Genomic DNA, 22,973 nt, shown 5'->3' with positions numbered 1-22,973 from the left:
GACCAGCTTTTCCTGCCTCATCCCTCATCACCCACACAGCCATCAGCCACATTCTAAGCCATTTATTCAACGACCCTATAGAGTATAAGTATACCCAATACCTCAGACTGCTTTTGGCCCCTGGACTAGACCCTCATTGCTCCAGGCATGAGGGGCTGTGCACCCTGACAGAGCCACCCAGGGCCAGTGGCCTGTGGCCACAATGTCAATGGCTATAACCGCTTCATCTGCCGCCGCTCCTGTCGGCGCTGCCGTTTCTCATTGTGCTCTGGTGCTGGGGTGCCACTGTCTGCAGTGAACCAGGGGCCCAGCACATTCACCCACAGGAGGTAAAGGGCCCGGCCTGGAGCCTACAAGAGAAACGGTAACTTGAAGCAAGATGCAGGGAATAAAAGATGGGGAGGGTTAGATGCCCCTTCTTGGGAGCGCCCCCAGCCCACATACCAGAAGCCAGAAGGACCAGACATAGAGAGAGAAGCAGCTGAGCACCTGCACGATGGCTGTCAGTAGGATCACATCCTTAAGGTGCCTGTGGATAGAAATAAAGCTGGAAAGACAGCATATGGGCCCTTCCACCCTTTTCAAGTTGCAACTCCCTTCCACCCTTTTCAAGTTACAAGTAGCTGTGCTTCTTGGGCTATCTGGGCCCCAGCCCTGGGGCCGCTCACCTGGGCTGGCGGTGGGGGACACTCACTCTGCCATGCCCTGCTCCATGTTGAGGTCCATGCCACCATCCATCAGGGCCCCATCCTCAGAGAACGCTGCTCGTGCCATCGAGCTCATAGAGTGGTAGCTGGCCCCATACACTGCCAGACTAAAGCCCAGGGCCAACTGCAGAGCAAGAATGAGGGTATCAAAGGCCAGCCACTGACCCTACGCACTCATCCACCTCCCAGGATGGAGATACTTACCCAGGCCCAAAATGAGGCAGATGAGTAAAAGAAGACCAACGTCACAAGGCAGTAAATGGCCTGCAAGCAATCACAGGATCAGGTTGGGGTCAGAAGTTACCTCCAAACCATGGGTCTCCCTCAACTCTGACCAAGAATTAGGCCAGGCTGTGGGAGGAGCAAGGTTGTTCTTACAGGGTTGAAGAAAGGGCCCTGCTCCCTGAATCCCAAATACCCACTCTCCTCTGACACCCAACTCAGCCCAGGAAAGAAGCCTTTGTGTACTTGGAGGTAGGAAGAGCTCTCAAATTCAGCTACGACTCACGCCTTCATTTTCTTTGTGTTTTACTAGTTAGCACTTTCTCTGTGCCCAGATCTCTCATTTCTTTTTGACTGGAGCTCTCTTCTAGAGCTTTTTCGGGTACCACTCCTCGTCACCAAGCAGGGCTGAGGACTAGGGAACTGACTATAAGTGGGCATAGAAGCAAGGAGGTAGGCACTTACATTGGCCCCCAGTATGATCCGCAGGTAGAACTTCAGAGTCTCTCTGTTCTCTTCAAATATCTGCTTCTTCCCTCTCGTGCCCACTTTGCCCTTGGGCTGCAGAGGAATGATGAGATGCCGTCAGGAGGCCACGGTCCTCCTCATTCTCCCCACCAGCCTGGTGAGCTATAGAGCTCCATCCGCAACTCAGCCAGGTCCCCGTAGTGCAGAAACCTAGCAAAATCCCTGGGATGTCCACCCATCCTCCAGTCCATTCTGCCTAGGGCTGACGCCATCTCTCCAGCACCCGCAGCTAGGATCAATCGCCTCTTGCTCGCCCTGGAACAATTCAATCCTAAGCTAATACCGCCTCTGGATCCCGTGGTAGTCTGGCTTTAGGCTAACGACTCTTCCAAGGGTACTCCTGAGCGGAGTTGAATGGTGCCTCTCTCAGGCCTCCGCTGGCGTAGTCCCGATCTGGGTTAACCCCCACCTCAGGTCACTTAGATCTCTGGCCTGCCCTGGTACTGATGCCCACCCCGCTCTGGCACTAGTCCTGGTATGGTCCTGCGCCGCCATCCCCCCAGCCCAGCTCTAGCACGGTCTGGCCAGGGATGGCGCCCCGCTCTGGCCCACCCCATATCCCTTAATGTTCTTTCTCAGTTTTCACTCTCACAGCCCCTGGAGAGCTTTGCTGGTGCGGACCCCGCCCTATCCATCCTCCTTACCGCCATGGTGCGAGGCAAATACCCAGCCCGGGAAACACGGGAGAGCGACCGAAACCGCAATCACTAAGCACCACATCGGCAGCTCATGCACTTCCGGCGCAGACCGAAGTCGTCAGCTTTTGCGACGGAAATAGGTCTCACTTCCTTCCCAAGCCCCGCCCCAAAGAGGCGAGACTACATTTCCCAGAAAGCCTTGCGCAGTGGGGGCGGAGGCGGCAGGGATGCGATGGCGGAGTCGCTGCCCCTGGAGGTGAGAGGAAGCCGCCCTCAGGCCTAGCTCTGGACAGGCCCCGCCCTCGCGGTCCTGAGCTTTGGGGAGGGGCTGTCAGATAGCTAGCCCGGCCCCTCCAGCCTGGCGGAAACGACCCGCCCTCCCGATCCCGGGACCTTCTAGCTCTGGGTAACGGTTCCTCCTTTGGGCCACTCTGTCCCTTTAGCTTGGGGGACCGTCCTCCCCTTCCCTATCGGCCCCAGAAGATAGCTGCCCTGTCATCTCCGCGAGAACAGGCCCTCTGCCCATCCCCTTCCCTTGAAGTGGCTGTCTCCTCCCCGCTCAGTTCTGGAAGATGTCCGCTCCATCTCATCGTCCCGAAGGGTAACTGATCTTATCCCCATTGGTCCCTTGGGATGATCTCTCCATTTCCTACAGAGACGGCCGCCCCTTCTCCCTGGCAGTGGGAAACAGACTGCTCCCTCCCCATCAACTGCAATGATCTCTGAGTTCCTTTAACAAGGATAGGCCTGTTCCCCATTCCTAGGCCCCTAGTGATGGCCGCCCTTACCTCTTTCACTCCGTGGGATGTTTGCTCCTTCCCCTTAGCCAGGGGCAAGACCACTCTGCCCCATCTGCCAGGGAGATAACAGGTTTTGTCTTCAGTGGCCTGTTGGAATGGCTTCTCCATCTCTTTTGTCCTGAGGGTTGGCAGCCCCCTCTCTCTGCCCATGGGAAACAGGCCACCCTTTCCCATCGGTCCTGGAATGATGCTCCTGTCCTTAGCAAAAATAGGCCTGTTCCCACCCCTATTGAGCTTGCAGTGCTATCCCTTTCCCCCTTAGCTTTAGGGGCTATCTATTTCCATCCCCATAGACCCCATGAGTGACCAATCATTATCTCCAGTAGCCCCCTTGAGATGGGACTCATGGGATGGTCACTCCATCCTCATCACTGCCTCCTCTTGTCCCTCTAGAAAGGCCACCCTCTTCTTAGGTCAATGAATTGTGTCCCTTCCCGACTCACCCCAAGGGATGACAGGTTTGTTCCCCTCTCCCTTTGCTCTTGGGCTGGCTGCTTAGCCCCAGAAGACAGGATGGCCACTGTCTTAACTCAGCTCAAACAGGCTTCCGTGCCTCCCTGGAGGGATTGGGACTTGGTCAGTCCCAGTCCCCATCAATACTGTCTTCCCTATGCCTCCCTTCCTGGCCCAGAAGTCTATTCTGCCAGTCATTGTCCTCTCAGTAATGACTGCTTTATTTCCCCGACCCCTTCCCTGAGCATACTCTTGGTGAAAATAGAGGTAGAGGACTGGACTGTCCAACCTTAATTTAATCCAGTAAGCACTGGCTGAGCACTGTGCCTGCGTGCTTGGCATCTGAGAAAGGAAGGAGAGATCACAATGGGTTGGTGAAGTTAAGCTTCAAGAAGGGGATCCCAGGGAAAAGGCCCGCATAGGCAAAAGGAAATAGACATGCTGTGTGCGTAGGGCAATGGGGAGACTGGACTGGGGAAGTTTGGGGACCAGCGAGTCCAATCAGGCACAGAGGCCTGGCAGTGCTGATCCAGGAGTGGAGACTGTCCTGAGAGTACTGTGAACCCTGAAGTTTTACAGCAGGGGTGAGCTGAAACTGAAAACTGTTTTATAGGAAAAATTAACCTTGTGACAGTGTGCATAATGTATTAGCAAGGATGAACTTGGAGGCAAAGAGTTCAGGTGGGAGATTGTGGAAGGAATCCAGGTTTGGGGTGGTAGAAATCTGAGCTACTGAGGTGGGGAAGTTGCAGAGGTAGAAATTTTAGTAACAGCAATCCAGCAACCATTTATGGAACATCTAGTTGTCACACACACACTATATATATGTAAAATTTAATCCCCATGAGGCTATGATCTAGATTTTTTTAAAGTATCCCTATTTTATAGATATGGAAACTGAAACTCCCAGAGGTCAAGTACCTTGTTTAAGGTCACACATCAGTATATGTGGAAGTAGTGGAGCTGGAATTTGAATGAGTTTAGGTTAGCCTGGCCTAAAGCCTGTGCATTACACCTGTATCTGGGAGGAAGGGACAGAATGGTTTGAATAGTTGAAAGTGTTATCAGGTAGATGCACTGTTGGCATTGAAAGGGGAATTTGGGAGGAGAGGCTGTTTTGGGCTGAGGGTAGAACATGAGTTTTGGTTGAGATTAAAGTGATGGCTAAACATTTGCATGGACAGTTGGCAATATGGACTAGCACTTGGATAATAGGACAATATGGGAATATTGAATTGTTGGTTATTCCTGTGTTGGTAAACAGAAAACCAAAAGACCCAGGTCTGAGCCCTGGGAGCCACAGAAGAATCCAAAAACGAGACAATTGGGATGCAGGGAGGAAGATTCCAGAAGAAAAGAAGAGTTAATATCAAATCATTCTAGGCCTCACTGGTAACCCCTTCCCCAGTCCCATTTAGGACCTCTAACCTCACCACCCCCTAGGTGGGGGGAAGGGCCTGAGCCTCCCAGGCTAGGTCTTGCTGGGAGCGCATCTTAACAACCAGTGGAGAGGGCAAGGTGGCAGTGAAGAAGACAGAAAAACAGCAGGGTCCCAGAGCCTGAGCCATGAGGGCAGGAGGACCAAGCATGACTTCCTGAGGACCAGAGTGAGCACACCTGGCCTGCTGTGCTCTAGGTCCTATGCAAGACACTTGGCTGTGTTCTTTAATTCTCACAATAATCCATTTAAATCTCACTACAATTGCAATTTCACAGATAAGGAAAACAAAGTTCGAGAGGTCAGTTGGCAGAGTAGAGATTTGAACTAGGTTTATCTGGCCTCAATGCCCAGGCTTTTTCTACCCAGCTAGGCAGGAAGTTTGATTCTTATCAGTCAGTGCAAGCCTGCACCCAGCTCAGGAAAGGTTTGTTTACAGGAAAGATACCTGAAGCCTGGAGCGGGGAAGTGAATGCTTCGTGAAGCTTCACATCCAAGATAAAGTAGAAGCCAGGGCTCTGGTGCCCTCAGACCCATGGTGCTGTCAGCTGGAGTGGGTTCCAAAGACCTCCCACCTCTAACAGTCCCCAATGCCCTGTCTTTTTCCCTCAGATGCTCACATATATTCTGAGCTTCCTGCCTCTGTCAGATCAGAAAGAGGCCTCCCTCGTGAGTTGGGCTTGGTACCGTGCTGCCCAGAATGCCCTTCGGGAGGTAAGGCACCCACCCTCCCCCGTCCCATCCTCAGGTGTTTCTTACTTCAGCTTACTCGTGGCCCTGCTCATGTATCTCCATCCATCTATCCATCCATCCATCCATCCATTCATATGCTCATACATACACATATATACATACATTCATACATACTTGGCTCTGGGTACAGTGCTGGGGCTATACAGATAAATAAGACATAGTTCCCTAAGGAGCTCACATTCCAGTGAAGGAGAAAGACGAGTAATATGAATGATCATGCTATCGTGTGCTCAGCGCTGTGACACTGGGAAGAAAGAGTTCGACGGGGACAGCCGGGCGCAGTGGCTCACGCCTGTAATCCCAGCACTTTGGGAGGCCAAGGCGGGTAGATCACCTGAGGTCAGGAGCTCGAGACCAGCCTGACCAATATGGTGAAACCCTGTCTCTACTAAAATTACAAAAATTAGCTGGGTGTGGTGGCGTGGTGTGCACCTGTAGTTCCAGCTACTTGGAGGCTGAGGCAGGAGAATCGCTTGAACCCGGGAGGCAGAGATGGCAGTGAGCCGAGATCGCGCCACTGCACCCCAGCCTGGGCAACAGAGCGAGACTCTGTCTCAAAAAAAAAGAGTTTGACGGAACATGAAGAAGGACATCCAGAGGAGACTGGTGGTGTCAGGGAAGGCTTCCTGAAGGAACAGGATGAGAAGAAAGGTTGGGCTTCTGGGATCAGTAATAGCATAAGTGAAGGCACCATGGTGTGGAACCAATCACACAAGTTCCATTTGGCTGGAACTAAGTGAGACATGGCAGGAGGCGAGGCTAGAATGGCATCAGGCTGCAAGCTGGCAGATGTGCCAGGCAGCAGAGTTTGGCTTTCTCCTGGTGACCATCAAGGAGCCCATTAGGCAGGCAAGTGACACAGCGTGATTTGTATTAGAACTCTGCAGTGCAGAGTGGACTGGGAGAGTGAGACAGCATAGGGAGGAGGCCAGCCAGGAGGTGAATGCAGACATCTGGGCTAGTTTGAAAGGCAGGCAGTGATGGCTCATTGTTTTAATTTTGATTTGTTTATTAGTGAGGTTGCACTGTTTTTCTCATTAGTTCACCCTTCATATTTCCCCCTTTTGTTTATTCATGTTCTGTATCCATTTAACTATTAAGGTCTTAGTATTTTTCTATTCCATTTGTATGGACTTTTTCTTTTTCTTTTTTTTTTTTTTTTTTTTTTTGAGATAAGAGTCTTGCTCTGTCGCCCAGGCTAGAGTGCAGTGGCGCTATCTCGGCTCACTGCAAGCTCTGCCTCCTGGGTTCAAGCAGTTCTCCTGCCTCAGCCTCCCAAGTAGCTGGGATTACAGACACACGCCACCATGCCCAGCTAATTTTTTTTTTTTTTTTTTAGATGGAGTCTTGCTCTGTCACCCAGGCTGGAGTGCAATGGCGCAATCTCGGCTCACTGCAACCTCCGCCTCAGCAATTCTCCTGCCTCAGCCTCTCAAGTAGCCAGAATTGCAGGTGTGTGCCACCACACTTGACTAATTTTTGTATTTTTAGTAGAGATGGGGTGTCGCCATGTTGGCCAGGCTGGTCTCGAACTCCTGACCTCAAGTGATCTGCACCCACTTGGCCTCCCAAAGTGCTGGGATTACAGGCGTGAGCCACTGTGCCGCGCTTCTTTTTTTATTTCTATTTATTTATTTTTTTGAGACGGAGTCTCGCTCCATCACCAGGCTGGAGTACAGTGGCATGATCTCAGCTCACTGCAACCTCCACCTCCCGGGTTCAGGCAATTCTCCTGCCTCAGCCTCCCGAGTAGCTGGGACTATGCATGCACCACCACGCCCAGCTAATTTTTATATTTTTAGTAGAGATGGGGTTTCACCATGTTGGCCAGGATGGTCTGGATCTCTTGACCTCATGATCCACCCACCTCGGCCTCCCAAAGTGCTGGGATTTCACGTGTGAGTCACCAAACCTGGCCTCTCTTTAAAATTTTAATTTGATTTAATTTTTTAAAAATTTCATTTGTTTGTTTTTGAGACAGAGTCTTGCTCTGTTGCCTGGGCTAGAGTGCAGTGGTGCAATCACAGGTCACTGCAGCCTCGACCTCGCCAGGCTCAGGTGATCCTCCCACCTCAGCCTCCTGAGTAGCTGGGACTACAGATGCATGTCACCATGCCTGGCTAATTTATATATATATATGTTTTTTGTTTGTTTGTTTGTTTTGAGACGGAGTCTCGCTCTGTCGCCCAGGTTGGAGTGCAGTGGCGAGATCTTGGCTCACTGCAAGCTCCGCCTCCCAGGTTCACGCCATTCTCCTGCCTCAGCCTCCCGAGTAGCTGGGACTACAGGCGCCCGCCACCGCGCCCAGCTAATTTTTTTTTTGTATTTTTGGTAGAGATGGGGTTTCACTGTGTTAGCCAAGATGGTCTCCATCTCCTGACCTCATGATCCTCCCGCCTCGGCCTCCCAAAGTGCTGGGATTACAAGCGTGAGCCACCACGCCCAGCCTATATTTTTAACAGAGACGAGATTTCACCATGTTGCCCAGGCTCGTCTCAAACTCCTGGGCTCAAGAGATCTGCCCACCTTAGCTTCCCAAGGTGCTGGGATTACAGGCATGAGCCACCATGCCTGGCCCAGAAGTTAAATTTCTCTGTTGTTGATTCTGAACATCCTTTTCTTTTTCACTTCTTCCATTGTTTTCTAAACTTAATGATTCCTTGCCCTTTTACACTTTTCTTCTGTTTTTCTTAAATAGACTCTATTACTTAGAGCAGTTTTAGGTTTACAGCAAAACTGTCTCTTCTGCTTTCTGGTTTGAATTTTTGTGTTAATGTTTTTATTGGTAAAAATTATTTAGATTTATGTTATGAGGTAAGAAGCTAAACTGATTAATTTTCAAAGAGCCCGAACACCATTTACATCTAATCTTCTCCTTCTCTGTTTGGTTGGAATCCTCTATCCCCTATTAAATATGAGTCTATAAGTAGATTCTTTTGTTGAATTATGTATACAGTGACATTCATCTCACTGTCCAAAGGAATTTTATTTTGGACATGTTGAAAGTTTGAAGTGTGAGGATCTAGATGTTGAGATCCACTTGGTAGTTGCATTTCTGAGTGAGGAATTCAAGAGAAATATCTGGGTAATAAATATAGATTTGAGTGTCATTAAAGAATAGGTGGCAGTTGAAGCCACAGATCTGAGTAACTTCCCCCGGGGAGAACATGCAGAGCCACAGAACAGCAGGCCACAGAGAAGCCCCAGGAGAGGACACAAGTCCAAGGGCACAGAAAGGAGGAGATACCCAAAGAGGGGAATGAGGAGCTCTCAGAGAGAGGAGGGCACAGACGTCAAAGGCAGGAGAGCAGGAGAGCATTTAAAGGATTGAATGAGGCCGGGCGTGGTGGCTCACGCCTATAGTCCCAGCTACTCAGGAGTCTGAGACAGGAGAATCACTTGAACCAGAGAGGTGGAGGTTGCAGTGATTCGAGATCTAGCCGCTGTACTCCAGCCTGGGCGACAAAGCGAGACTCAGTCTCAAAAAAAAATACATAAATAAAGGATTGAATGGATGATTAACAATGTCAGATCCCACAAAAAGCCCAGCAAAATGAAGAACAAATATTGTCCATGAGATATGTTATCCAAGGAGGCCACCAATGGCTTCAGTGATATTTGGCATCTGGAAAAATAAGCCAGGTGGATTGAGGAGTGAATGAGAGAAGTAGGAAGTGTAGAGCGTGACCTCGCTGGCAAGAAATTTCTTGGCCGGGCGTAGTGGCTCACACCTGTAATCCCAGCGCTTTGGGAGGCCGAGGTGGGCGGATCATCTAAGGTTGGGAGTTTGAGACCAGCCTGACCAGCATGGTGAAACCCTGTCTCTACTAAAAATACAAAAATTAGCTGGGTGTGGTGGCGCATGCCTGTAATCCCAACTACTCGGGAGGCTGAGGCAGGAGAATCGCTAGAACCCAGGAGGCGGAGGTTGCAGTGAGCCCAGATCGTGCCATTGCACTCCAGCCTGGGCTGGAGCAAAACTCCATCTCAAAAAAAAAAAAAAACAAAAAAAAAAGAAATTTCTCTACAGAAAGAAGGAAATAAATAGGGCAAGTCAGGCACAGTGGCTCATGCCTGTAATCCTAGAACTTTGGGAGGCCGAGACGAGTGGATCACCTGAGGTCAGGAGTTTGAGACCAGCCTGGCCAACACGGCGAAACCCCCTCTACTAAAATACAAAAATTAGCCAGGCATGGTGGTGGGTTCCTATAATCCCAGCTACTCTGGAGGCTGAGGCAGGAGAATCACTTGAACCCAGGGGTGGAGGTTGCAGTGAACCGAGATTGCTCTACTTCACTCCAGCCTGGGCAACAGAGAGAGACTCCGTCTCAAAAAAAAAAAAAAAAGAGAGAGAGAGAGAGAAAGAAATAGGGCAGAAATGAGAAGTTGAGATGGGTTTGACAAAGACAAAGGGATTCTCTTCTGGAGAAATCTGAAATGTGTTTGAATGCATCAGGAGACTGGGCACGGTGGCTCACACCTGTAATCCCAGCACTTTGGGAGGCTGAGGCTGGTGGATCACTTGAGGCCAGGAGTTCAAGACCAGTCTGGCCAACAAGTTGAAACCCCATCTCTACTAAAAATACAAAAATTAGCCAGGTGCAGTGGTGCACACCTGTAATCCCAGCTACTCGGGAGGCTGAGGCACAAGAATCTCTTGAACCTGGGAAGCAGAGGTTGCAGTGAGCAGAGATCACACCACTGCACTCCAGCCTGGGTGACAGAGCAAGACCCTGTCTATAAATAAATGAATAAATAAATAAAGCTTCAGGGTGGCCCGGTGCAGTGACACAAGCCTGTAATCCCAGCACTTTGGGAGGCCAATGCTGGTAGATCAATTGAGGTCAGGAGTTCGAGACCACCCTGGCCAACATGGTGAAACCCCATCTCTACTAAAAATACAAAAATTAGCTGGGCATGGTGGCGAATGCCTGTAATCACAGCTCTTCGGGAGGCTGAGGCAGGAGAATCACTTGAACCTGGGAGGTGGGGCTTGCAGTGAGCTGAGATCATGTCACTGCACTCCAGCCTGGGCAACAGAGCAAGACTCCATTTCAAAAAAAAACAACGAAAAACCCATCCTGGCTAACACGGTGAAACCCCATCTCTACTAAAAAAAAAAAAAAAAATACAAAAAATTAGCTGGGCGTGGTGGTGGGCGCCTGTAGTCCCAGCTACTCAGGAGGCTGAGGCAGGAGAATGGCATGAACCCAGGAAGCGGAGCTTGCAGTGAGCCGAGATTGCACCACTGCACTCCAGCCAGTCTGGGCAAGACTCCATCTCAAAAAAAAAAGGAAAAAAAAAAAAAAAGAGGCCGCGTGCAGTGGCTCACACCTATAATCCCAGCACTTTGGGAGGCCAAGGTGGGTGGATCACATGGTCAGGAGTTCAAGACCATCCTGGCCAAGATGGTGAAACCCCGTCTCTACTAAAAATACAAAAAATTAGCCGGGCATGGTGGCAGGTGCCTGTAATCCCAGCTACTCAGGAGGCTAAGGCAGAGAATCGCTTGAACCTGGAAGGTGGAGGTTGCAGTGAACTGAGATCGTGCCACTGCACTCCAGCCTGGGTGACAGAGTGAGACTCTGTCTCAAAAAAAAAAAAAGTAAATAAATAAATTAAATAAATAAATAAATGCTTCAGGGAGTCACTAGAGGAGGGGTGAAGATTCGGGGAGGAGAGAGGTCAGGTGTAGAAGATGGTGGCAGGGACAGGCTTCCACATACCAAGCTTGATCTGGGATAGGATGGAGAGGATATCACCTCTCCCTTTTTTTTTTTTGTTTTTTTGTGTGTGTATGTGTGTGTTTTTCTTTTTTGTTTTTTCAGCATCAGTTTGGTGAAAAAAAGGATGTCACCTCTTCCTGAGGAAGCAGAGAGGTGGGGGTGGAAACATGGAGCTATTTGCAGAGAAGTTCCTCAGAGGCATCTCCTTCCTCAGCGGCCCCTTCACTCAGTGGATTTGGAGACCAGGTTGTCTCAGGAGAGTAAAAAGAGACATAGAGGCCAGGGCTTCAGCAGAGAGGGTTGGAGCAGTCACAGGACAGGAGGAAGATGGAAAATTACCAGAGACACATAGAGAGGGTGTGGGCAGCCTTACTCAAATGTTTCTGCTGTGCCGGGCAGTGTGCTGGGCACCAGCGAGGCAAAACTGAGGAAGGCACAGGGCTGGGGAGTGTGTAGTGAGTACAGATGAGTAAAAAGAGGCTGGGGTGCTGCATTTGAAGTCTGTGTGAGGCACATCATGGGTGCAGAGAAAAGATCAGAAAAGACTCCATGGAGAAGGAGGTGCTTGGCCTGAGACTCGAGAGAGGAATAAACATTTGCCAAATAGACCAATAGGAGCCAGTGAGGGGTGGGACCCCCCCAGAACAGAAAAAGCAGCTGAGCAGAGGCGTGCGGTACAGGACAATGGTCAGAAGTGGCAGCCCCAGAGCCAGGACTAGGAGGAAGGGGAACGGGCTTGGGAAGAGCTTGGCTGAAGCAGCAGGCCTGGGTCCTAGAAGGGCTTGAATGCAGGCTTAGGAAGCTTAGCCTGTGTCCTGGAGGCGTGCGGAACTGGCAGAGGGTCTGGAGAGCACAGGCAGAATCGCCTTTTGGAAGGGTCACATGGTGACAAAACCCAGGATGGATTGGAGCCAGAGGAACTGGAGGCCAGGACCTGATAAGGAGGAAGCTGGCGTGGTCTGAGCTTAGAGGAAGCAGCTCTCGGGCTGCTGGCATACAGTATGGGGACTTCAACTAGGGCAGAAGCAGTGAGGTTGGAGCAGAGGGACAGATTGCACCGTATCAGGGAAACAAAAGTGGAAGGGGCTTGGGTCATTGTGGATGTGGGGAGTGAGGGAGGATTCTAGAATCACTCCCAAATTTCCCACTTGGGTGACTCAATAGAGGGTGGGGAGAGTTTAGAAGGAGCAGAGTTGGAGGATGAGATGATGAGTTCAGATTTGGGTATGCTGCATCGTGCCCTCTGGAGAGAGGCCAGTCAGGCACTTGGCTCCCGGGGTCTGGCGTTCAGGAACATCATGTGGATCGGAAAGACAGTGGTTGGAATGATGGCCCCATGGGGCAAAATGCAGTTGGCCAGGGTACACTCGGAGGGGCACAAAGATCGTGTGCATATGTGCACGTGCACACGTGTGTGTGTTCTTGGGTGGAACAAACCATGGGGAACCCACTCATCTGTGGACTGGATCTCTGTTCTTTGTTGACCCCAAAAGAGCCTGAAGAAGAGCAGGCTAGAAGGTAGGAGGAAAGCCAGGGGGGCAGAGTTGCAGAACCCCAGTGGAGATGGCATCAAGGGGAGTGGCTGCTGGCCATGCAGAGCAGGTGACATGGCAGAGAGAACCCTTGTGGGAGGTCTGAGGTGAAGCCCCCACATGTTGGTGACCTTGCTGGAGGGGAGTTGTTGCCAGGAATGCGTGATCCTGTGGGGGCCAGGGTGGAGGGGTGAGCAGGTGAGGCGAGGGGCAACGAGTGGCGGGACAGCAGGCATGCCTGTGCCTGTGTGCTTCCAAGAAGCGTGGCTGTAGAGGAAGGGGAGAGAAGAGAGGCAAGAGGAAGGGGTGCGGGATGAAAGGAGGCTTTTAGTTGCAGTTTAAGACTCTGGGGTGTTTGTGGCCTCTGAAGAAGGAGCAGTGGAAAGGCATAAACATCAGGGTTCTCAGAGGAGAAGGTGCAGCAGGAGAAGGAGGCCAGGAGAAGAAGTCTTCTGGAAGCAAAAGAGCAGGAGAAGGAGGAAGGTTCAGATGGGCCCTGCCTGGAGGCAGCTGGTGGACATGAACAGGGGAAAGGGAGGGACTTCCCACTTGATGGCCATCCCTGAGAATCCTGGGTGAGGGAGGGTGTATCAGTAGGGCCAGGAGCTGGAGAGGGAGGGGCTTGGAGAGAAGTCTTGGGGCAGGGTGGGAATCGAGCAAGGAGGCCATGACTTCCTGGGCGGAGTTCTGTATCCCTGGTACAGACTCAGAGGAGGCAGCTGGTCTTGCCAGCCCTGGCCGGGCCAGGAGAATGGGCACAGCAGCACGACTGAGGCAGGGCAACAAGGACCCCGAGGAGAGGTTGTCACAGGGCAAAGCCTCATGGAACCCAGCAAAGATGGGGCAGTCAGAGGAGCCCAAGTTGGGCAGGGCTGGAGGAAGGAGAAGGAAGCCAGAGTGAGTGTTTTAGAGCGGGAGCTGCTCCAGCCAACCATGCTCTCCAGATAGAATGCGGACAGAGACAGATGACAGAGCCTTGGGATAACCAAAAACAAGAAAAAGAAAAAAGGAATGTTGACAAAGACCCTTTGGTGCCTCTGCGAAACTCAGCCCCACCTAGGCTGGGAGCACTGGGAGGCCAGGCCACAGGTACCTGGCATCACCCCTACCATGTGCCAGAGAGCGCCTGCGGGACCCTGCAGGCAGGAACCATCTCCCAGGGCTCGGGCATGGGCAGGTGGATACTGAGGCAGTAGCAGTTAGGTACCAGTTAGGTGCTGTGGAAGACACTGGCTTACCGAGGCCCAGCTAGAGCTGGTGACTCACCAAGCTGGGCTAGGACGCTGGTCTTGGGGACTTACTTTCCCTGACCAGTCCCTCCTATTCCCTTAATCCCAATTTTCTCAAATAAGGATGCCGGCAAAGGCAGCACCCTCCATATGTACCGGCCCTGTCCGTTCCTGGGGGAGCCCTGGTTGTCTCTGCTGGTTGGTCCCCATGAAGCAATAGCTGAAGAGAGCTCTTTGTGCCCTCCCTGCCTGAGGGATTGATGAAGTCCTGGAGCAGCCTCTGTATGACCCACTAGTCTAACTCCTCTCTAGAGACCAATGCCCTGGGTGCCAGGGCGTACATTTCCCAACGGCCTCCTGGAGAACAAGCACGGTAGCTTTGGAGTCCTGTATTAGGCAGGACGAAGGGCCATTTTCTCTGTCACATGGCTTTCCAAGTCTGTACACAGGCCTGCAGTCTCGGTTCAGGGCTTCATTAGGTACAACAAAACCCTGGTCTCCCACAGAAAAGGTACATACGTTACTTGTAGCAGATTCAGAGCAGTTCCCAAATGATATTGCGATTACTCTTTTTTTTTCCTTTTTTTGAGATGGAGTCTCGCGCTGTTGCCCAGGCTGGAGTGCAGTGGCAGGATCTTGGCTCACTGCAACCTCTACCTCTGAGGTTCAAGAGATTCTCCTGCCTCAGCCCCCAGAGTAGCTGGGATTACAGGTGTCTGCCACCATGCCCGGCTTTTTTGTATTTTTAGTAGAGATGGGGTTTCACCACGTTGGCCAGGCTGGTCTTGAACTCCTGACCTTAAGTGACCTGCGCGCCTTCGGGCAAAGTCCAGGGATTACAGGCATGAACCACCACGCCCGGCCAGCAGTTACTCTTAAGATGCCAGCATCGGGAAGGGAGGAGACCAGGGGGCAAGGTGTTCCTTCTGTAGATGGGGCAGCTAGAGCTAGAGCATGTGGCCTTGCAGTTCTCTTTGGGTGGGTCTAGAAGCATCTTCCCAGGGCCCAGGAAGGGGGTGTCCTATACCAGGGCCAAAGTCCAGAACCCAGAAGGCCTGCTTCAGCCTGCTGCTGTTCTCTCACACAGAGAAATATCCCTGAAAGGCTGTTCCTGGGCTCCTGCAGGTTATTTATTTATTTATTGATTTAAGCTGGAGTCTCGCTCTGTTGCTCAGGCTGGAGTGCAGTGGCGCGATCTCGGCTCACTGCAACCTCCGCCTCCCAGGTTCAAGTAATTTTCCTGCCTCAGCCTCCCAAGTAGCTGGGAATTACAAACTCCTGCCACCACGCCCAGCTAATTTTTGTATTTTTAGTAGAGATAGGGTTTCACCATGTTGGCCAGGCTGGTCTCCAACTCCTGACCTCGTGATCCGCCTGCCTTGGCCTCCCAAAGTGCTGGGATTATAGGCATGAGCCACCACACCTGGCCAACTCCTGCAGTTTTAAGTCCATATGACCTCAGGAGCAGGTGACCTCAGGAGCAGACCTCAGGAGCCACCTGGGAGGTGGCTTAGAGGCTGCTCCCATCCCACCTGCAAAAATGGTGGGGCCTGGACATGGTCTCAAGCCTCTTCCGTACCCCCAGAGCTAGAAGTCCTTTAAGCCAGGCTCTGCTTCTTTATCGAGTGGCCTTGCTGCCAGGAGCCAGCCCTGGACTTGGGCCCTGGGGCATTGCCAGAGCCTTCCAAGGTCTTTTGTCCACCTGGTTCATAGGGAGGCAGTGGGAGAGAAGAGACCCTTCCTGGCCAGCCAGGCTCCAGAATGAAGGGAAGGAAAGAAGTCAGGCTGAGCCCCTGAAGGTGCTGTGCCACTGGAGCTGGGGCCTGCAGGACTTTCAGGGGTTCCTCAGTGATGTGTGACTTGGGGGAGGAGGTGCTGCCTCACAGCCAGCTCTGCCCCACCTGCCCCAGCCAGTTTCCTCTGATCTGCATGGGATGGAGTCGTTCAGCTTGCAGGGCTTGGGAATGGCTGGAGGTATGCCCTCCATTCCTCTCTGATGTTTTATTGCCCTCTCCACCCTCACACACTGGGATCTTCCCAGCCTACCTTTCACCTGAGATCCCCGATCCATTGCCCACGAGGAGACCTGTGGTGAGTGCCCCTCTCATCTGGAATGACCATGTTCCAGAAGTAGGGGCTGGAAGGGGAACCTGGCTGACCTCTGGTTCCTGTGAAAGAGGCCAGGAGCTGGTTCCTGTCTCTTACACCACTCCTTCCTGTCATTATAGCCATGGGTGCCACTTTTCTGTGGTAGAAGCCAGGCTGGCCTCTCCACACCTGGGAATGAGTCCTGTGTTTCTTAGGAGAATCCTGTTGATAAGTATCTTGCAGGAGCACATCCTGTGAGTCACTTCTACCTTCTGCATTCCTTTTTTTTTTTTTTGAGATGGAGTTTTGCTGTGTTGCCCAGACTGGAGTGCAGTGGTGCAATCTTGGATCACTGCAACCTCCACCTCTCAGGTTCAAGTAGCTGGGATTATAAGCATGCACCACCACACCCAGCTAATTTCTTTTTTTTTTTTTTGAGATGGAGTCTTGCTCTGTCACCCAGGCTGGAGTGCAGTGATGCAGTCTCGGCTCACTGCAAGCTCCACCTCCCGGGTTCACGCCATTCTCCTGCCTCAGCCTCCCAAGTAGCTGGGACTACAGGTGCCCACGACCATGCCCGGCTAATTTTTTTGTATTTTTAGTAGAGATGGGGTTTCACCATGTTAGCCAGGATGGTCTCGATCTCCTGACCTCATGATCAGCCCACTTTGGCCTCCCAGAGTGCTGGGATTACAGGTGTGAGCCACCGCGCCCAGCCTAATTTCTGTATTTTTAGTAGAGATGGGGTTTCACCATGTTGGCCAGGCTAGTCTCAAACTCTTGACCTCAAGTGATCCACCCGCCTCAGCCTCCCAAAGTGCTGGGATTACAGGCAGGAGCCACCGTGCCTGGCTTGGATTCCCTTTTGATGATGGTCTGTGGGGTACCAGCAGGGAACAGCAGCTTGTTTTTGCAGTTACTGACAAGACAGGTTTAGGGGAGGATTCTTTCCTGCATCAGGACCATGTTGATTCAAACAAGAGCCCTCTTTGAGTACCACGTGCCTGCAACATGGGCAAGAGGTAGGGAGATGGGGCAAGGATTTTAGAATCCAAGCCCTCTTCTCCCTCTCCCCAGAGATCTGTTCCACACAAATTATACCGATTTCCCTTTGGCTCACTCCAGTGCAATATCAGGAAAAGTTCTTTGAAGATATCTCCTTAGCTGGGAGCTCCTAAATGCCTGCACAAGCCAACTTATTCCCACTATGTAGCCCTGAGCTTTTCTCTTGGGTCCCACCTGACTCCAGCTGTGCACTCCCCATTATCACTCCCCTGTTCCTCTACGCAGAGCCAGCTCAACTTCCTTGGCACGGGTGAGGTGTGTTCTGTTAGCTCCCACCCACGGAAATGGGAGGCTTCAGCGTCCTTACCGTGACAGATAGATGCCCCCTCCAGAGATATGCCACAGGGATCACAAGCACATCTTGAACTCTGGAGCATCCGGGGCCCAATACCAGGCAGCTCCACGTGTTCATGCACACACACATGCACATGCACATACATGCACACACACATATATGCACATGCACACATTTTTGCTTACACACAGAACACATTTTTGCAAACATTCATGTGACAGGCTCTCTCAGGCCACCAGGGGACTTAGGCCTCACTGCCTGCCCCAGACCTCTGGCACCTGGGCCATAGAGGGTTGTGGTGAGTGACACCTACCTCACTTCTATCGCCTTCCACTCTTCAGAGGGCTACGCTCTCTAGAAAGTGGGGGAGGCTGGCTGCTTAGCTCATGCCAAGTCCCTGGAGTAGGAGGCTGAGTCCATGGATCTCAGGGCCTCCTTCTGAAAGTCCCAAAGGTTGGGGTCTGGCATACTTTGCCCTCCCACACCCTGGGGACTTCACTGGGTTTCCTCTAGGTCACATCTCAGCCCTCCTGTGCTCAGCATGCCAACTCCCCACTCTGTCTCCACCCCTCCCTCAGTATCCCATCCTGTCCATCGCTAACCTTCCCGCCTTCCTCTGATGGTCATCTCCTTTGAACCCCAGCTCCCACTTCCTACCCATACCCAACTTGACCACACATGACACCACACACCATGGTGGGTCTCCATTGTGGAAGGGCCCTTCCTTGACCTGCCCTCAACCTCTGGCCAGTGACTTGTCACCAAACCCAATGCCCAGCACCCTCTGAAGCCAGAGGGCTACCCCCAGGCCTGCTGCTGCTCCGTAGACAGATGTGCGATACAACATCCCCGTGTCCTCTGCCTCCCTCTCGGCCATCAAGAGCCTGGGCCTCAGGGGCATCTGCTGCATCAGCCTGACCAACCTGGATGGCTCTCTGGCTTCACACCAGGTGCTACAATCTGTTGCTTACCACCTGGGCCCACACCTGCAGAGCTTGTCCCTGGGTGGAGGCAGCCCCACAGAGGCCTCCTCTGTGGCCCTGATCCTGGGCTGCCCAGCCCTGTGTGTCCTTGACCTCAGTGGCTGCAATAGCCTCTTCACCTCGGGCACACTGCTGGCTCAGCCAGAGATGGCACAGAGCGTCCAGCAGGCTTTGAGCGGCCTCCGTGAGCTCAACCTGGCTGGCCTGCGAGACCTGGCTGACCTCAGCTTCAACCAGCTCAGCAGCTGTGCCCCCAGCCTGGAGCGCCTCTCCTTGGCATACTGCCACCTCACCTTCGAGCTAGGCCCAGCCTGAGGCTCCATCGGCCCCCAAGACTCCTCTCCCGCCCAGTTCTCCTTCTGCAACCTGCTGCGATTAGTGCAAGAGCGGGCTGGCAGGCTGCGTGCCCTGGACCTGAGTGGCACTGGCTTGCCCCCCGAGGCCCTGCAGGCTCTGGGCCAGGTAGCTGGGCTGCAGCTTCAGGAGCTGAGCCTGCACAGCTGCCGGGACCTCTCCACAGAGGCTGTGGCTACCCTGTGCTTCCAGCAACCAGGCCTTACCTCCCTGGACCTCAGTGGCTGCTCAGAACTGACTGATGGGGCGCTCTTGGCCGTGAGCCGGGGCCTGCGGCACCTGCGGCGCCTGAGCCTGGGGAAGCTGCAGCGGCTGACAGATGCAGGATGTACAGCTCTGGGTGGCCTGCAGGAGCTGCAGAGCCTCGACATGGCCGAGGGCGGGAACTGGCCCAGGCCCTGGGCTGTATGCACGGGGCTCCATCCCAGCTGGCCTCCCTCAGCCTGGCCCACTGCTCTTCATTGAAGGTGAGCACACCATCATCCCCTTCCTTCCTCTCCAGGGCTGAGGACAGCGGGAGAGGGGAAGCGGGGTGGTGGGGGGCCTTTGGCACCAGGGAGGGACTCCCCAGTGTTCATGCCTATGATTGGCAGTTAGAAATGAACTTGGGACCCAGTCTGGAGGAGGGCAAGAGCCTAGATAGCTGCTGTTGCTGCCAGCACACCCCCCACAAACCCCCCATTCTGGGCCTAGGAGGTCCAAGTGGCCAAGGTGGCCCAGCCCACGAGGCAGCCAACAGCTGACATGTCAAGTGTGTGGCGACCGCTGCAGTCTGGGGAGGGGCGCTGAGGATGAGTGTTCTGGAGCTGGGCGGGCTGAAGAAAGGGGGTGATGGGCAAGGAAGGCAGGGAAGGAGCACTGAGGAAGGTGCTGGGGCGGGGCCTGCGAGGGTGATGTGACAGGAGCAGCAGGGTCATTTCCTAGCCAAGGCCAGGCCCGTCAGCAGGGCTCAGCGCTGTCCCTCTGGGTGGCACCCCTGTCTTGGCAGTGTCAGTCTGTCCCTCTTTAGCGGATTATTTCTTCAGCCTGTCCATTTGACCAGGGCATTCCCAACCTAAAAACCGTCTCTCCACCTTGTTCCCCTCCAAGCGCCTCTCTTCCCGGCCTTACTCCTCCTCTTTGGCACCAAGCACGTCAGATATGTAGTACAACATCCCCGTGTCCTCTCAGCTGCTGCCTCCAGGCCTCAAGTTCTTGTGTCCCTGAAGCTCCCCTCTGTGCATCTCTCTACAAACCAGCCTCCTCTACTCTGCCCTTAGCTCCTGCTCCCCGTCCCTAACTGCTCTGGCAGCTGGCAGCTCTACCTACATCTCACTGTTTTGCGTCCAGCTCTAGAGGGAGCAACTCCGATTGGCTTAGCAGGGTCAACTGGCTGGTCCAGTTGTGAGCTGTGGTCTGAGGTGGCCTCATTCACTTTTTTGGCAGGGGCTGGGAGCATAGGCAGGGTGGCCACCCTAGGCCTTGCCACCTGCATCCTTCCTGCCCCAGCCACAGTCCAGGCCTTTTTCCTGTGGCAACCCCCATGGCCCACCCTGTCCACCCCCAACTTTCACTACCAGCACAGGGACCATGTTTCTTCCTTCCTTGGACCCTCTGGTAGCTCCCTCCTGCCTGTGGGGTGAGAACCTTGAACAGACCCTTTCTAGCTACCCCTGCCAGGCCAGGTGGCATAGGCAACCAGCTGGTGCTCCATCCTGTCTCCTCCCTTCCTCCCTCCTAGGATGCCTCAGTGCTCTCCATGATCCCAGCACTGGGCCTGAGCCTCAGGGTGCTAGACCTGTCCTCCTGTGTGGCCCTCACCAACAGGACCCTGCAGGCCATCTGCACCTACCTCACCCACCTCTCAGTCCTGCGCCTGGCGTGGTGCAGGGAGCTCTGTGACTGGGGGCTTCGGGGGCTGGGGGAGCCTGTGCAGGGGACCCAGGTGTGGGACCCTCGAGGTCTTGGAGGACGGGGTGGCCCCTGGGATCAGCTGCCCTCCTGCCCCTCCCAAGTCTCTGTAGGAGTATTTAAGGGCAAACTCAGGAGGAACCTGAGAAGCAAAGGCTTCTTCCCACAGTCACGCCCAGAGCTGGAGCATCAGGCCTCAGGTACCAAGGACGCCTGTCCAGAGCCACAGGGCCCCTCCCTGCTCACGCTGCGGGCCCTGCAGGAGTTGGACCTCACAGCCTGCAGCAAGCTGACTGATGCCAGTTTAGCCAAGGTGTGGGGCTGGGGGTGCGGGTAGGCTGAGGATCTGGGGGCTGAAGTCAGGGGTCTGGGCCAACCCACTTTTTGCTTGGAAAAAAGTTGACCTTGGAGTTCCTTTTTCATTGGCTTCTGCTGCCTCTAGTCACGCCCTGGCTGGGGTGGGAGGATCTGGAAAGGCCAAGGCTGTGGGCTCCAGTGGCATTTACCTCTCCCCTACCCTCCCCATCCTTGTAGGTGCTCCAGTTTCTCCAGCTGAGGCAGCTGTCCCTTAGCCTGTTGCCAGAACTCACAGACAACGGCTTGGTTGCTGTGGCCAGGGGCTGTCCTAGCCTGGAGCACTTGGCGCTGAGTCACTGCAGCCGACTCAGTGACAAGGGCTGGGCCCAGGCAGCCAGCTCCTGGCCAAGGCTGCAGCATCTCAACCTGTCCAGCTGCAGTCAGCTCATAGAGCAGTAAGTGTGTCCGATGACACCAGGCAGATGGAGCCACGGTGCAGGGGCTGGGCTGGGTCCCACACCGGGCCAGGCACTCATCAGGTGGCCTCCCCACAGGACACTGGATGCTATTGGGCAGGCGTGCAGGCAGCTCCGGGTGTTGGATGTGGCCACGTGCCCTGGCATCAACATGGCCGCCGTCAGACGCTTCCAAGCCCAGCTGCCCCAGGTGTCCTGTGTCCAGTCCCGCTTCGTGGGAGGGGCTGACCTGACCCTAACACTCTGAGGCCAGGTCAGTAACCAGCCCTGCAGCACAGCCTCCTTGACTCCCCCAGTCTCCAACCCTGGCCTTGACCCGGGTTGCTTTTTGCCTCCCTCTACTGCAGACCCTCTAGGACTGGGGGTGGGGCCAATCCAGGGCAGCCCAGAGGGAACATCCTGCCACACCGCCTGGCAGTAGCCTCTTTCCAGCTACACGTCGCTGCCACAGGCCCCTGGAAATGCTACCTACGTGTTGCCGCCACAGGCTCCTGCTCTCTGGCCAAGCCCTGGGTGGGAGGCCAGGCCCCCAGCGGGCAGGGTCTGGTGCTGGGAGGAGCAGAGCCTCTGCCTCTTGCCTGCCCTCCTCTCAGACCTAAGGCCGGGCTCCACCTACTCCTGTGGGACTCTCCCAGCACCCTGTGTGCACTGAGCTTCAGCAGCTGAGCCTAGGTCTGTGCTGTAAATCCTAAGATTAAACATTCCAGATAGTACCTCCTTGTCTTAAGTTCTCAGACTAAAGGGCCCCTCCCCTCCCAGCTTCAGCTGAAGTGGCCCTGGGGCAGGCGGAGAAAACCCTGAGGCACGCTCCTTCCTCAGGCCTGGCCCACAGCCCCACAGGGGCTCCTAGCATCTTCCCCACACAGTAGGAGACCCTGCAGGCCTGGGTGTGCCCTGAGGCAAAGGTACATGCTGTGCGCTTGTCCCAGCCAGATTCCAGGAACAACTGATGAATGATGCCTGAGTCAATGAGGCTGTCCTGAGGGGGAAATAAGAAGAAAAGAATGAAAGAGGCCAGCATCTCTGGGTGAGGGGGTCACTAGAGGTCACCTAATCCAGCCCCCTCAATGGTGCTGGTGACTTCTCCATGGCAGGTCTGGCCCTTGGTGTGTCCCCGCACCTCGTCTATATCCCTGTTCATTGGTTGTAGCAGCGAGCCAGGGCTCCCCCAGTACCTGCAGGGACTGTGCTTTATGTGGGGATTCAGAGGGGCCAAAGCTCTCCCAGCCCCAGGGCCAGCTGGGGAGGCAGAGAAGCCAGCTAGCAGGGACAGTCCAGTGTGCAGGGTGCGGGTGAAGAGAGAGACAAGCACCTGGGACCAGAGCCCAGGGAGCAACAAATTGGGCCTGGAGGGTCCAGGAAGGAATCAGGGCAGTGAAAATGGCCAGAAGAAAGGAAGGGGGTGATCCAGGTAGAAGGCACTGTGGGGACGCACACAGGCAGGCCAGAGCTGGCACTGAGGGGGTAGTCTAGGCAGGGAGGATGCCAGCTCAGACCAA

General features: G+C 53.9%; 1 protein-coding gene and 1 pseudogene across 6 annotated transcripts, besides 3 other annotated features; one reads left to right on the top strand and one right to left on the bottom strand.

Moving 5' to 3' along the window:
* TMEM208 (transmembrane protein 208) lies at positions 48-2,196 on the bottom strand. Of its 3 annotated transcripts, none has more exons than NR_134524.2 (6): positions 2,102-2,196; positions 1,395-1,490; positions 912-971; positions 669-831; positions 445-529; positions 48-350 (listed from the first exon to the last, which is right to left on the bottom strand). NR_134524.2 is itself a non-coding variant. In NM_001318217.2 (6 exons), exons 4-6 carry the CDS (start codon positions 781-783, stop codon positions 213-215), a joined length of 312 nt encoding a protein of 103 aa, NP_001305146.1. In that variant the 5' UTR covers positions 784-831; positions 912-971; positions 1,395-1,607; positions 2,102-2,196; the 3' UTR covers positions 48-212. The 3 variants fall into 3 exon arrangements, 2 of the variants coding, with proteins under 2 accessions (NP_001305146.1, NP_054906.2); NM_001318217.2 differs by having other exon boundaries at positions 695-831; positions 1,395-1,607; NM_014187.4 differs by having other exon boundaries at positions 695-831.
* Positions 2,044-2,393: an enhancer, noted in NCBI's record as "active region_10959". NCBI's record gives its function as "activates an Ori minimal core promoter by ATAC-STARR-seq in GM12878 lymphoblastoid cells {active_cell/tissue: GM12878}" and the evidence as "EXISTENCE:reporter gene assay evidence [ECO:0000049][PMID:35858748]".
* Positions 2,301-22,187, top strand: FBXL9P (F-box and leucine rich repeat protein, pseudogene; annotated as a pseudogene). Of its 3 annotated transcripts, none has more exons than NR_172488.1 (7): positions 2,301-2,351; positions 5,399-5,500; positions 19,004-19,278; positions 20,871-21,014; positions 21,236-21,453; positions 21,553-21,727; positions 21,822-22,187. The product of NR_172488.1 is annotated as an F-box and leucine rich repeat protein, pseudogene, transcript variant 1 (transcript). The 3 variants fall into 3 exon arrangements; NR_172489.1 differs by lacking the exon at positions 2,301-2,351 and adding an exon at positions 2,524-2,696; NR_172490.1 differs by lacking the exon at positions 2,301-2,351 and adding an exon at positions 2,524-2,696 and having other exon boundaries at positions 21,553-22,187.
* Positions 20,709-21,275: an enhancer, noted in NCBI's record as "H3K4me1 hESC enhancer chr16:67241954-67242520 (GRCh37/hg19 assembly coordinates)". NCBI's record gives its function as "activates a minimal SCP1, AML or CMV promoter by ChIP-STARR-seq in naive H9 embryonic stem cells {active_cell/tissue: H9 hESC(naive)}" and the evidence as "EXISTENCE:reporter gene assay evidence [ECO:0000049][PMID:30033119]".
* Positions 21,276-21,843: an enhancer, noted in NCBI's record as "H3K4me1 hESC enhancer chr16:67241386-67241953 (GRCh37/hg19 assembly coordinates)". NCBI's record gives its function as "activates a minimal SCP1, AML or CMV promoter by ChIP-STARR-seq in naive H9 embryonic stem cells {active_cell/tissue: H9 hESC(naive)}" and the evidence as "EXISTENCE:reporter gene assay evidence [ECO:0000049][PMID:30033119]".
* Positions 22,188-22,973: the final 786 nt, after the last annotated feature.

Source organism: Homo sapiens, chromosome 16 (genome assembly GCF_000001405.40).
Source record: "Homo sapiens chromosome 16, GRCh38.p14 Primary Assembly".
Lineage (NCBI taxonomy): Eukaryota > Metazoa > Chordata > Mammalia > Primates > Hominidae > Homo > Homo sapiens.
This window is presented reverse-complemented; position numbering and strand designations above follow the sequence as displayed.

Coding starts and splice junctions, on each gene's coding strand:
- TMEM208 (NM_014187.4), bottom strand. Junction 972..1,394: donor GGATCATACTGGGGGCCAAT/GTAAGTGCCTAC, acceptor GATTGCTTGCAG/GCCATTTACTGCCTTGTGAC. Junction 832..911: donor CTGCCTCATTTTGGGCCTGG/GTAAGTATCTCC, acceptor CTTGCTCTGCAG/TTGGCCCTGGGCTTTAGTCT.